At 38.2% G+C, this 14207-nt stretch overlaps 1 annotated feature.

The window, feature by feature from the left end:
- Window positions 337-1536: an enhancer, noted in NCBI's record as "MED14-independent group 3 enhancer chr6:87291002-87292201 (GRCh37/hg19 assembly coordinates)". NCBI's record gives its function as "activates an origin of replication core promoter dependent on BRD2, BRD4, P300/CBP and CDK7 cofactors, and independent of MED14, by STARR-seq in HCT116 cells {active_cell/tissue: HCT116}" and the evidence as "EXISTENCE:reporter gene assay evidence [ECO:0000049][PMID:35650434]".

Genomic DNA, 14207 nt, shown 5'->3' with positions numbered 1-14207 from the left:
AACAAATGCTGAGAGAATTTGCCACTACCAAGCCAGCACTACAAGAACTGATAAAAGGAGCTCTAAATCTTGAAACAAATCCTAGAAATAAACCAAAATAGAACCTCCTTAAAGCATAAATTATACAGTACATACAAAACAAAAATACAATGAAAAAACCAAAGTATTCAGGCAACAAATAGCAAGATGAATAGAATAGTACCTCACATCTGAATACTAACGTTGAATATAAATGGCCTAAATGCTCCAGTTAAAACATACAGAATGGCAGAATGGATAAGAATTCACCAATGAAGTATCTGCTGTTTTCAAAAGACTCACCTAACACATAAGGACTCACATAAACCTAAGCTAAAGGGGTGGAGAAAGATATTCCTTGCTAATAGACACAAAAAGCAAGCAGAAGTATCTGTTCTTATATCAGACAAAATAAACTTTAAAACAACAGTAGTTAAAAAAGACAAAGAGGGACATTATATAATTATAAAAGAACTTGTCAAACAGGAGAATGTCACAATCCTAAAAAAATATGCACCTAACACTGGAGCTCCTAAATGTATAAAATAATCACTACTAGATGTTAGATATGAGTTCTAGATTTCTCTTCAAAGAATCAATATGTCAGCATGTTCAATGCTTTACCTTCTACTTTTAAACTTAACTTCCTTGTAAAGAAACCTTTTCTGATTACCTGCTCCACCCTGACTCATTCCGATTATCGGCTCCACTCTGACTCATTCCTATTACCTGCTCATTCTCCACCCTGACTCATTCTGATTTCCTGCTCTGCCATAACCACTTTTCCTGCCAAACCACTCACCCTGTCATTCTCTTTAAATTAGCCAAGCGGAATTAGTTTAGCCTGTGCTGTCTAACCCTAGCCAATAGGGGAATGACACAGCAGCAGAGGCCATGTGCATCAGGGATAAGAACACTTTCCCCTCCTTTTTCCAGGTGTGCACTCACCATTGCTCCATCTGTAAGCAAGCACCCTTCTATAGAATTACATTGCCTTGCTGAGGATTGAAAAGAAAATGTTATATTCGAGTGCTACTTCTTTTGTGGCACCAAAACTTTGTTTATAACATAGACCTAAGAAATAAGATGGACAAGAACACAATACTAGTGGGGGGTGGAATTCAATACTCCACTGACAGCACTAGACAGGTCATCAAGACAGAAAGTCAACAAAGACACAATTGATTTAAACTATACTCTAGAACAAATGGATTTAATGGATATTTACAGAATATTCTGCCTAATACCTGCAGAAGATACATTCTATTCATCAGCACATGGAACAGTCTCCAAGATAGACCATATGACAGGCCACAAAACATCTCAAATTTAAGAAAATGAAAATTATTTCAAGTACTCTCTCAGACTACGGTGGAATAAAATTGGAAATCAACTCCAAAAGGAACCATGAAAATACGTGAAAATTAAATAACCTGCTCCTGAATGATTGCTGGGTGAACAATGAAATTAAGATGGAAATTAAATAATTCTTTGAACTGAATGATAATAGTGACACAACCTATGAAAACCTCTGGGATACAGCAAAGACTGTGTTAAGAGGAAAGTGTTCATAGCCTTAAATGTGTATATCAAAAAGTCTGAAAATACATGGAAATTAAATAACCTGCTACTGAATGATTGTTGGGTGAACAATGAAATTAAGATGGCAATTAAATAACTCTTTGAATTGAATGATAATAGTGACACAACCTATCAAAACCCCTGGAATACAGCAAAGACTGTGCTAAGAGGAAAGTTAATAGCCTTAAATGCCTACATCAAAAAGTATGAAAGAGCAAAATTGGCAATCTAAGGTCAAATCTCAAGGAACTGCAAAACATGAATGAATCAAACCCACGTCCAATAGAAGAAAAGAAATAAGAAAGATCAGAGCACAACTAAATGAAATTGAAAGCAATAATAAATAAATATATAAATAAATAAGACAAGACATGAATGAAACATAAAGTTGGTTCTTTGAAAAGATAAATAAAATTGATAGACCATTAGTGAGGTTAACCAAGATAAGAAGAGAAAAGATCCAAATAAGCTCAATTAAAAACAAAAAGGGAGATATTACAACTGATATCACAGAAATACAAAAGATCATTCAAGGATACTATGAACACCTTCACATGCATAAACTAGAAAATCTAGAGGAAATGGATAAATTCCTGAAAATATGCAACTCCCCTGGATTAAACCAGGAAGAAATAGAAGCTCTGAACAGACTAATAACAAACAGCAAGATTGAAGTTGTAATTTTAAAATTGCCAAAAAAAAAAAAGTCCAGAACCAGATGGAGCCACAGTTTAATTTTATCAGACATTCAAAGAAAAATTTGTACCAATCCTATTGACACTATTCCAAAAGATAGAGAAAAAGGGACTCCTCCCTAAATCATTCTATTAAGCCAACATCACCATAATACCAAAACCAAGAAAAGACATAACAACAAAAAACTATAGACCAATATCCCTGATAAACATAGACTCAAAAATCCTCAACAAAATACTAGCAAATTGAATCCAGCAGCATATCAAAAAGATAATCCACCATGATCAAGTGGGTTTCATACCAGGGATGCAGGGACAGTTTAAAGTACTCAAGTTAATAAGTGTGATACACCACATAAACAGAATTTTTAAAAAATCACATGATTATCTCAATAGATGCAGAAGAGCATTTAACAAAATCCAACATCCACTTATGATTAAAACCCTCGGCAAAATCAGCACTGAAGGGACATACCTTAAGGTAATATAACTCATTTATGACAAACCCACAGCAAACATAATACTTAATGGAGAAAAGTTGAAAGCATTCCCCCTGAGAACTGGAACAAGACAAGGATGCCCACTTTTCCACTTTTATTGAACACAGTACTAGAAATCCTAGCCAGAGCAATCAGACAAGAGAAATAAATAAAGGGCATCTAAATCAGTAAAGAAGAAGTCAAACTGTTGCTCTTTGCTGATGATTTGATTGTATACCTAGAAAACCCTAAAGATTCATCCAAAAAGCTCCTAAAACTGATAAATGAATTCAACAAAATTTCAGGATACAAAATTAATGTACACAAATCAGTATCTCTTCTATAAAACCACAGTGACCAAGATGAGAACCAAATCAAGAAGTAAACCACTTTTACAATAGCTGCAAATAAAATAAAATAAACATAAAATAAATTACATATTTAGGAATATACCTAACCAAGGATGTGAAAAACCTCTACAAGGAAAACTATAAAATACTGCTGAAAGAAATCATAGATGACACAAACAAATAGAAACACATCTCATGCTCATGGATGGGTAGAATCAATATTGTGAAAATGACCATACTGTCAAAAGCACTTTACAGATTCAATGCAATTCCCACCAAAATACCACTATCATTCTTCACAGGACCAGATAAAAATTCCTAAAAATTCATATGGAACCAAAAAAGAGCCTGCGTAGCCAAAGCAAGACTAAGCAAAAATAACAAATCTGGAGGCATCACATTACCTGACTTCAAACTATGCTATAAGGCTACAGTCACCCAACAGCATGGTACTGGCATAAAAGTAGGCACATAGACCAATGAAACAGAATACAGAACCCAGAAATAAACCCAAATACTTACAGCCAAGTGACATTCAACAAAAACATAAAGTGGGGAAAGGACACCCTATTCAACAAATGGTGCTGGGGTAATTGGCAAGCCACATGTAGAAGACTATAACTGGATCCTCATCTCTCACTTTATACAAAAATCAACTCAAGATGGATCAAGGACTTAAATCTAAGACCTGAAAAATTATAGAAGATAACATTGGAAAAATCCTTCTAGACATGGGCTTAGGCAAAGACTTTGTGACCAAGAACCCAGAAGCAAATGCAACAAAAACAAAGATAAATAGATGGGACTTAACTAACCTAAAAAGCTTCTGCACAGCAAAAGAAATAATCAGGAGAGTAAACAGACAACTGATAGAGTGGGAGAAAATCTTCACAATCTATATATGTGACAAATGACTAATATCTAGAATCTACAAGGAACTCAAACTAATCAGCCAGCACAAAAACAAATAATCCCATCAAAAAGTATGCTCAGGAAATGAATAGACAATTCACAAAAGAAGATATACAAATGGTCAAAAAACAGGAAAAAAATGCTTAACATCACTAATGATCACAAAAATGCAAATCGACACCACAATGCGAAGCCACCTTACTCTAGCAAGAATGGCCATAATCAAAAAAATTACAAAAAATAGATGTTGGTGTGGATGTAGTGAAAGGGAACACTTTTGCACTGCTGGTGGGAATGTAAACTAATACAACCACTGTGGAAAACAGCGTGGAGATTCCTTAAAGAACTGAAAGTAGATCTACTGTTTGAACTGGCAATCCCACTACTGGGTATCTACCCAGAGGAAAAGAATTCATTATATGAAAAAGACACTTGCACACTCATTTTTATAACACCGCAATGAGCAATTGCAAAAATATGGAACTAACCCTAATGCTCATTAATCAGAGTGGATAAAGAAATTGTGGTATACCAATAACAAACAAACAGAGAGCCAAATCCTGAGTGAATTCTCATTCACAATTGCTTCAAAGATAATAAAATACCTAGGAATCCAACTTACAAGGGATGTGTAGGACCTCTTCAAGGAGAACTACAAACCACTGCTCAATGAAACAAAAGAGGATACAAACAAATGGAAGAACATTCCATGCTCATGGATAGGAAGAATCAATATCACGAAAATCGCCATACTGCCCAAGGTAATTTATAGATTCAATGCCATTCCTCTCCATCAAGCTACAAATGACTTTCTTCACAAAACTGGAAAAAACTACTTTAAAGTTAATGTGGAACCAAAAAAGAGCTCACATTGCCAAGTCAATCCTAAGCCAAAAGAACAAAGCTAGAGGCATCACACTACCTGACTTCAAACTATACTACACGGCTACAGCAACCAAAACAGCATGGTACTGGTACCAAAACAGAGATATACACCAATGGAACAGAACAGAGTCCTCAGAAATAATACCACACATCTACAACCATCTGATCTTTGACAAACCTGACAAAAACAAGAAATGGGGAAATGATTCCCTATTTAATAAATGGTGCTGGGAAAACTGGCTAGCCATATGTAGAAAGCTGAAACTGGATCCCTTCCTTACACCTTATACAAAAATCAATTCAAGATGGATTAAAGACTTAAACGTTAGACCTAAAACCATAAAAACCCTAGAAGAAAACCTAGGCATTACCATTCAGGACATAGGCATGGGCAAGGACTTCATGTCTAAAACTCCAAAAGCAATGGCAACAAAAGACAAAATTGACAAATGGGATCTAATTAAACTAAAGAGCTTCTGCACAGCAAAAGAAACCACCATCAGAGTGAACAGGCAACCTACAAAATGGGAGAAAATTTTCGCAACCTACTCATCTGACAAAGGGCTAATATCCAGAATCTACAATGAACTCCAACAAATTTACAAGAAAAAATCAAACAACCCCATTAAAAAGTGGGCAAAGGATATGAACAGACACTTCTCAAAAGAAGACATGTATGCAGCCAATAGACACATGAAAAAATGCTCATCATCACTGGCCATCAGAGAAATGCAAATCAAAACCACAATGAGATACCATCTCACACCAGTTAGAATGGCAATCATTAAAAAGTCAGGAAACAACAGGTGCTGGAGAGGATGTGGAGAAATAGGAACACTTTTACACTGTTGGTGGGAATGTAAACTAGTTCAACCATTGTGGAAGACAGTGTGGCAATTCCTCAAGGATCTAGAACTAGAAATACCATTTGACCCAGCCATCCCATTTCTGGGTATATACCCAAAGGATTATAAATCATGCTGTTATAAAGACACACGCACACATATGTTTATTCTGGCACTATTCACAATAGCAAAGATTTGGAACCAACTCAAATGTCCATCAATGATAGAATGGATTAAGAAAATGTGGCACATATACACCATGGAATACTATGCAGCCATAGAAAATGATGAGTTCATGTCCTCTGTAGGGACATGGATGAAGCTGGAAACCATCATTTTGAGCAAACTATCACAAGGACAGAAAACCAAACACCACATGTTCTCTCTCATAGGTGGGAATTGAACAATGAGAACACTTGGACACAGGGTGGGGAACATCACACACCGGGGCCTGTAGTAGGGAAGGGGAAGGGGGCAGGGATAGCATTAGGAGATATACCAAATGTAAATGACGAGTTAATGGGTGCAGCACACCAACATGGCACATGTATACATATGTAACAAACCTGCACGTTGTGCACATGTATCATAGAACTTAAAGTATAATGAAAAAAATTGTAGTATATATACCATGGAATACTACTCAGTCACAAAAAGGAATGAAATAATGGCATTTGCAGCAACCTGGATGGCATTAGAGACCATTATTCTAAGTGAAGTAACTCAGGAATGGAAAAGCAAACATTGTATGTCTCACTCATACGCGAGAGCTAAGCTATGAGGATACAAGTTCTTAAGAATGATACAATGGACTTTGGGGACTTGGGAGAAAGGGTGGGATCGGGGTGAGGAATAAAAGACTACAAATAGGGTACATTGTATACGGTTTGGGTGATGGTTGCACCAAAATCTCAGAAATCACTACTAAAGAACATATTCATGTAACCAAACACCATCTCTTCTTCAAAAACCTATTGAGATAATAATAATTAAACAAACAAACAAACAAACAAAAAAACCAAAAAAACCTCAAAGTGCTGGGAATACTGGGAAGAGCCACTGTGCCTGGCCTCATCTGTCCTTTTGAAATATCCATTTCTGCTCCCTAATTGAACACTTAAGTTCTGTGAGAATAGAGGCTATATTTACACATCTTTGAATTCTGAGGAGTACATAGTTATGACATAACATCCACAACTACTCCCTGAAACTGGGAGATTTTGTTTACTTAACTTTTTAATGATACAGACTACAAAAATTAAAATGCAAATGAAATCAAGTTATTCCAATTTCAAAGAAGCATAACATTACAAAGTCTTTTTTTCTTTTTTCTTTTCTTTTATTATTATTATACTTTAAGTTTTAGGGTACATGTGCACAATGTGCAGATTAGTTACATATGTATACATGGGCCATGCTGGTGTGCTGCACCCATTAACTCGTCATTTAGCATTAGGTATATCTCCTAATGCTATCCCTCCCCCCTCACCCCACAACAGTGCCCAGAGTGTGATGTTCCCCTTCCTGTGTCCCTGTGTTCTCATTGTTCAATTCCCACCTATGAGTGAGAATATGCAGTGTTTGGTTTTTTGTCCTTGTGATAGTTTACTGAGAATGATGATTTCCAATTTCATCCATGTCCCTACAAAGGACATGAACTCATCATTTTTTATGGTTGCATAGTATTCCATGGTGTATATGTGCCACATTTTCTTAATCCAGTCTATCATTGTTGGACATTTGGGTTGGTTCCAAGTCTTTGCTATTGTGAATAGTGCTGCAATAAACATACGTGTGCATGTGTCTTTACATCAGCATGATTTATAGTCCTTTGGGTATATACCCAGTAATGGGATGGCTGGGTCAAATGGTATTTCTAGTTCTAGATCCCTGAGGAATCGCCACACTGACTTCCACAAAGTTTGAACTAGTTTACAGTCCCACCAACAGTGTAAAAGTGTTCCTATTTCTCCACATCCTCTCCAGCACCTGTTGTTTCCTGACTTTTTAATGATTGCCATTCTAACTGGTGTGAGATGGTATCTCATTGTGGTTTTGATTTGTATTTCTCTGATGGCCAGTGATGGTGAGCATTTTTTCATGTGTCTTTTGGCTGCATAAATGTCTTCTTTTGAGAAGTGTCTGTTCATGTCCTTTGCCCACTTTTTGATGGGGTTGTTTGTTTTTTTCTTGTAAATTTGTTGGAGTTCATTGTAGATTCTGGATATTAGCCCTTTGTCAGATGAGTAGGTTGCGAAAATTTTCTCCCATTTTGTAGGTTGCCTGTTCACTCTGATGGTAGTTTCTTTTGCTGTGCAGAAGCTCTTTAGTTTAATGAGATCCCATTTGTCAATATTGGCTTTTGTTGCCATTGCTTTTTGTGTTTTAAACATGAAGTCTTTGCCCATGCCTATGTCCTGAGTGGTAATGCCTAGGTTTTCTTCTAGGGTTTTTATGGTTTTTGGTCTAATGTTTAAGTCTTTAATCCATCTTGAATTAATTTTTGTATAAGGTGAAAGGAAGGGATCCAGTTTCAGCTTTCTACATATGGCTAGCCAGTTTTCCCAGCACCATTTATTAAATAGGGAATCCTTTCCCCATTGCTTGTTTTTCTCAGGTTTGTCAAAGATCAGATAGTTGTAGATATGTGGCGTTATTTCTGAGGGCTCTGTTCTGTTCCATTGGTGTATATCTCTCTTTTGGTACCAGTACCATGCTGTTTTGGTTACTGTAGCCTTGTAGTATAGTTTGAAGTCAGGTAGCGTGATGCCTCCAGCTTTGTTCTTTGGCTTAGGATTGACTTGGCGATGTGGGCTCTTTTTTGGTTCCACATGAACTTGAAAGTAGTTTTTTCCAATTCTGTGAAGAAAGTCATTGGTAGCTTGATAGGGATGGCATTGAATTTATAAATTTCCTTGGGCAGAATGGCCATTTACACGATATTGATTCTTCCTACTCATGAGCATGGAATGTTCTTCCATTTGTTTGTATCCTCTTTTATTTCATTGAGCAGTGGTTTGTAGTTCTCCTTGAAGAGGTCCTTTCCGTTCCTTGTAAGTTGGATTCCTAGGTATTTTATTATCTTCTAAACAATTGTGAATGGGAGTTCACTCATGATTTGGCTCTCTGTTTGTCTGTTATTGGTGTATAAGAATGCTTGTGATTTTTGTACATTGATTTTGTATCCTGAGACTTTGCTGAAGTTGCTTATCAGCTTAAGGAGATTTTGGGCTGAGATGATGGGGTTTTCTAGATATACAATCATGTCATCTGCAAACAGGGACAATTTGACTTCCTCTTTTCCTAATTGAATACCCTTTATTTCCTTTTCCTGCCTAATTGCCCTGGCCAGAACTTCCAACACTGTGTTGAATAGGAGTGATGAGAGAGGGCATCCCTGTCTTGTGCCAGTTTTCAAAGGGAATGCTTCCAGTTTTTGCCCATTCAGTATGATATTGGCTGTGGGTTTGTCATACGTAGCTCTTATTATTTTGAGATACGTCCCATCAATACCTAATTTATTGAGAGTTTTTAGTATGAAGTGTTGTTGAATTTTGTCAAAGGCCTTTCCTGCATCTATTGAGATAATCATGTGGTTTTTGTCTTTGGTTCTGTTTATATGCTGGATTACATTTATTGATTTGTGTATATTGAACCAGCCTTGCATCCCAGGGATGAAGCCCACTTGATCATGGTGGATAAGCTTTTTGATGTGCTGCTGGATTTGGTTTGCCAGTATTTTATTGAGGATTTTTGCATCAATGTTTATCAAGGATATTGGTCTAAAATTCTCTTTTTTGATTGTGTCTCTGCCTGGCTTTGGTATGAGGGTGATGCTGGCCTCATAAAATGAATTAGGGAGGATTCCCTCTTTTTGTATTGATTGGAATAGTTTCAGAAGGAATGGTACCAGTTCCTCCTTGTACCTCTGGTAAAATTCGGCTGTGAATCCATCTGGTCCTGGACTCTTTATGGTTGGTAAGCTATTGATGATTGCCACAATTTCAGATCCTGTTATTGGTCTATTCAGAGATTCAACTTGTTCCTGGTTTAGTCTTGGGAGGGTGTATGTGTCGAGGAATTTATCCATTTCTTCTAGATTTTCTAGTTTATTTGCATAGAGGTGTTTGTAGTATTCTCTGATGGTAGTTTGTATTTCTGTGGGATCGGTGGTGATATCCCCTTTATCATTTTTTATTGTGTCTATTTGTTTCTTCTCTCCTTTCTTCTCTGTTTGTCTTGCTAGCGGTCTATCAATTTTGTTGATCCTTTCAAAAAACCAGCTCCTAGATTCATTAATTTTTTGAAGGGTTTTTTGTGTTTCTATTTCCTTCAGTTCTGCTCTGATTTTAGTTATTTCTTGCCTTCTGCTAGCTTTTGAATGTGTTTGCTCTTGCTTTTCTAGTTCTTTTAATTGTGACGTTAGGGTGTCAATTTTGGATCTTTCCTGCTTTATCTTGTGGGTATTTAATGCTATAAATTTCCCCCTACAGACTGCTTTGAATGTGTCCCAGAGATTCTGGTATGTTGTGTCTTTGTTCTTGTTGGTTTCAAAGAACATCTTTATTTCTGCCTTCATTTCGTTATGTGCCCAGTAGTCATTCAGGAGCAGGTTGTTCCGTTTCCATGTAGTTGAGCGGTTTTGAGTGAGTTTCATAATCCTGAGTTCTAGTTTGATTGCACTGTGGTCTGAGAGACAGTTTGTTGTAATTTCTGTTCTTTTACATTTGCTGAGGAGAGCTTTACTTCCAAGTACGTGGTCAATTTTGGAATAAGTGTGGTATGGTGCTGAAAAGAATGTATATTCTGTTGATTTGGGGTGGAGAGGTCTGTAGATGTCTATTTGGTCCATTTGGTGCAGACCTGAGTTCAATTCTTGGGTATCCTTGTTAACTTTCTGCCTTGTTGATCTGTCTAATGTTGACAGTGGGGTGTTAAAGTCTCCCATTATTATTGTGTGGGAGTCTACAACTCTTTGTAGGTCACTCAGGACTTGCTTTTTGAATCTGGGTGCTCCTGTATTGGGTGCATAGATATTTAGGATAGTTAGCTCTTCTTGTTGAATTGATCCCTTTACCATTATGTAATGGCCTTCTTTGTCTCTTTTGATCTTTGTTTGCTTAAAGTCTGTTTTATCAGAGACTAGGATTGCAACCCCTGCCTTTTTTTGTTTTCCATTTGCTTGGCAGATCTTCCTCCATCCTTTTGAGCCTATGTGTGTCTCTGCACGTGAGATGGGTTTCCTGAATACAGCACACTGATGGGTCTTGACTCTTTATCCAATTTGCCAATCTATGTCTTTTAATTGGAACATTTAGTCCTTTTACATTTAAAGTTAATATTTTTATGTGTGAATTTGATCCTGTCGTTATGATGTTAGCTGGTTATTTTGCTCATTAGTTGATGCAGTTTCTTCCTAGCCTTGATGGTCTTTACTTTTTGGCATGATTTTGCAGTGGCTGGTACTGGTTGTTCCTGTCCATGTTTAGTCCTTCCTTCAGGAACTCTCTTAGGGCAGGCCTGGTGGTGACAAAATCTCTCAGCATTTTCTTGTCTGTAAAGTATTTTATTTCTCCTTCACTTATGAAGCTTAGTTTGGCTGGATATGAAATTCTGGGTTGAAAATTCTTTTCTTTAAGAATGTTGAATATTGGCCCCCACTCTCTTCTGGCTTGTAGAGTTTCTGCCGAGAGATCTGCTGTTAGTCTGATGGGCTTCCCTTTGTGGTTAAGCTGACCTTTCTCTATGGCTGCCCTTAACATTTTTTCCTTCATTTCAACTTTGGTGAATCTGACAATTACGTGTCTTGGAGTTGCTCTTCTTGAAGAGTATCTTTGTGGCGTTCTCTGTATTTCCTGAATCTGAATGTTGGCCTGGCTTGCTAGATTGGGGCAGTTCTCCTGGATAATATCTTGCAGAGTGTTTTCCAACTTGGTTCCATTCTCCCTGTCACTTTCAGTTACACCAATCAGACGTAGATTTGGTCTTTTCACATAGTCCCATATTTCTTGGAGGCTTTGTTCATTTCTTTTTATTCTTTTTTCTCTAAACTTCCATTCTCGCTTCATTTCATTCATTTCATCTTCCATCACTGATACCTTTTCTTCCAGTTGATGACATCAGCTCCTGAGGCTTCTGCATTCTTCATGTCGTTCTCAAGCCTTGTCTTTGAGCTCCATCATCTCCTTTAAGCACTTTTCTGTACTGGTTATTCTAGTTACACATTCATCTAAATTTTTTTCAAAGTTTTTAACTTCTTTGCCTTTGCTTTGAATTTCCTCCTGTAGCTCAGAGTAGTTTGATCATCTGAAGCCTTCTTCTCTCAACTCGTCAAAGTCATTCTCCATCCAGCTTTATTCCATTGCTGGTGAGGAACTGTGTTCCTTTGGAGGAGATGCGCTCTGCTTTTTAGAGTTTCCAGTTTTTCTGCTCTGTTTTTTCCCCATCTTTGTGGTTTTATCTACTTTTGGTCTTTGATGATGGTGATGTATAGATGGGTTTTTGGTGTGGTTGTCCTTTCTGTTTGTTAGTTTTCCTTCTAACAGACAGGACCCTCAGCTGCAGGTCTGTTGGAGTTTGCTGGAGGTCCACTCTAGACCCTGTTTGCCTGGGTATCCACAGTGATGGCTGCAGAACAGCGGATTTTTGTGAACTGCGAATGCTGCTGTCTGATCGTTCCTCTGGAAGTTTTGTCTCAGAGGAGTACCCGGCCATGTGAGGTGTCAGTCTGCCCCTACTGGGGGGTGCCTCCCAGTTAGGCTGCTTGGGGGTCAGGGGTCAGGGACCCACTTGAGGCGGCAGTCTCCCCATTCTCAGATCTCCAGCTGCATGCTGGGAGAACCACTGTTCTCTTCTAAGCTGTCAGACAGGGACATTTAAGTCTGCAGAGGTTACTGCTGTCTTTTTGTTTGTCTGTGCCCTGCCCCCAGAGGTGGAGCCTACAGAGGCAGGCAGGCCTCCTTGAGCTGTGGTGGGCTCCACCCAGTTCAAGCTTCTGGGCTGCTTTGTTTACCTAAGCAAGCCTGGGCAATGGCGGGTGCCCCTCCCCCAGCCTCACTGCCACCTTGCAGTTTGATCTCAGACTGCTGTGCTAGCAATCAGTGAGACTCCATGGGTGTAGGACCCTCTGAGCCAGGTGAGGGATATAATCTCCTGGTGCACCATTTTTTAAGCCCATTGGAAAAGCACAGTATTAGGTTGGGAGTTACCCGATTTTCCAGGTGCTGTCTGTCACCCCTTTCTTTGACTAGAAAAGGGAACTCCCTGATCCCTTGCACTTCCTGAGTGAGGCAATGCCTTGCCCTACTTTGGCTCATGGACGGTGCACTGCACCCACTGTCCTGCGCCCACTGTCTGGCACTTCCCAGTGAGGTAAACCCAGTACCTTAGATGGAAATGCAGAAATCTCCTGTCTTCTGCGTCGCTCACGCTGGGAGCTGTAGACTGGAGCTGTTCGTATTCGGCCATCTTGGCTGCCTACCACAAAACCTTAATTAAGAATGGTTTTCAGGACTGCTTGCCTGATTTAAAATCTTAGCTCCAACAATTGCTTGTCGCATAACCTTGTGCAACTGACTATCTGTGTGACTCAGTTTCTCAGCTGTCAAATGGAGGGAGGTGTGAGATAACAATGCCCACATCATTGGATTGATGTGAGGATTAATAGAGTTAATACATGTAAATTCAATTAGAAAAATATCAGGCACATAATAAAAATGCTGTAAGTGTTAGACATAATTATTATAATCACTTTTAATGTTTGGTTTGCTTCTTCTATGTTGCTCATTAAAATACAAAAGACTTCATGTGGAGGCTGGGTTGTGGACAGTTAAAATGGTTTGATAGTCTAATTCCTTTTTCAGTTTCTCTTCCTCTGCTCTTTTCTTTTGCGTGAATCTGGATCTCTCCATAGACATTCACCTTTCTTCTTGGATAACTCACACCTTTAGTACTTGTTCTGATGAAAGGACAATTGGTTAGGCTTCTTTAGGATTGTGCCACTTAGAATTAGGAAATTCTATTCCCTCTCTGAAAGTTAGTTCTTAACTTTTTTATTATGTTCCAGATTCCATAGGGTTTGGCAGGTTTGCTTGGTACTTTGTGGCTATGTTTGTCTACTTTATATAAAAGTGTGCACAAAAAGGAACTATTTGAGTTTCTGTTCTCATCCAGACCCTAAGACAAATGTTAGAACACTACTACATGATGTACATAATCACTAGGAGGACTCACAAACAAGGTGGTTGTCAAAAGCCAATACTTTTCAACTTTTAGCTAACCACCCACATCAGCCTTTAAAAAACTTAGAAAGAGCAATTAAAAAATGCATAATGGATAGGAGAGAATTTGTGGAGGGAATTGTTAGTGTGCTGTGATTCTGAGTTTTGCCCCCACTCCTCCCAATAAGTATGAGAAGGGAGGACCTATCCCTCTGCAAGCCTA

This window comes from Homo sapiens, chromosome 6, assembly GCF_000001405.40.
Source record: "Homo sapiens chromosome 6, GRCh38.p14 Primary Assembly".
NCBI lineage: Eukaryota > Metazoa > Chordata > Mammalia > Primates > Hominidae > Homo > Homo sapiens.
Note: the sequence above shows the minus strand (reverse complement) of the source record. Positions and strands in the feature narration are given on the sequence as shown.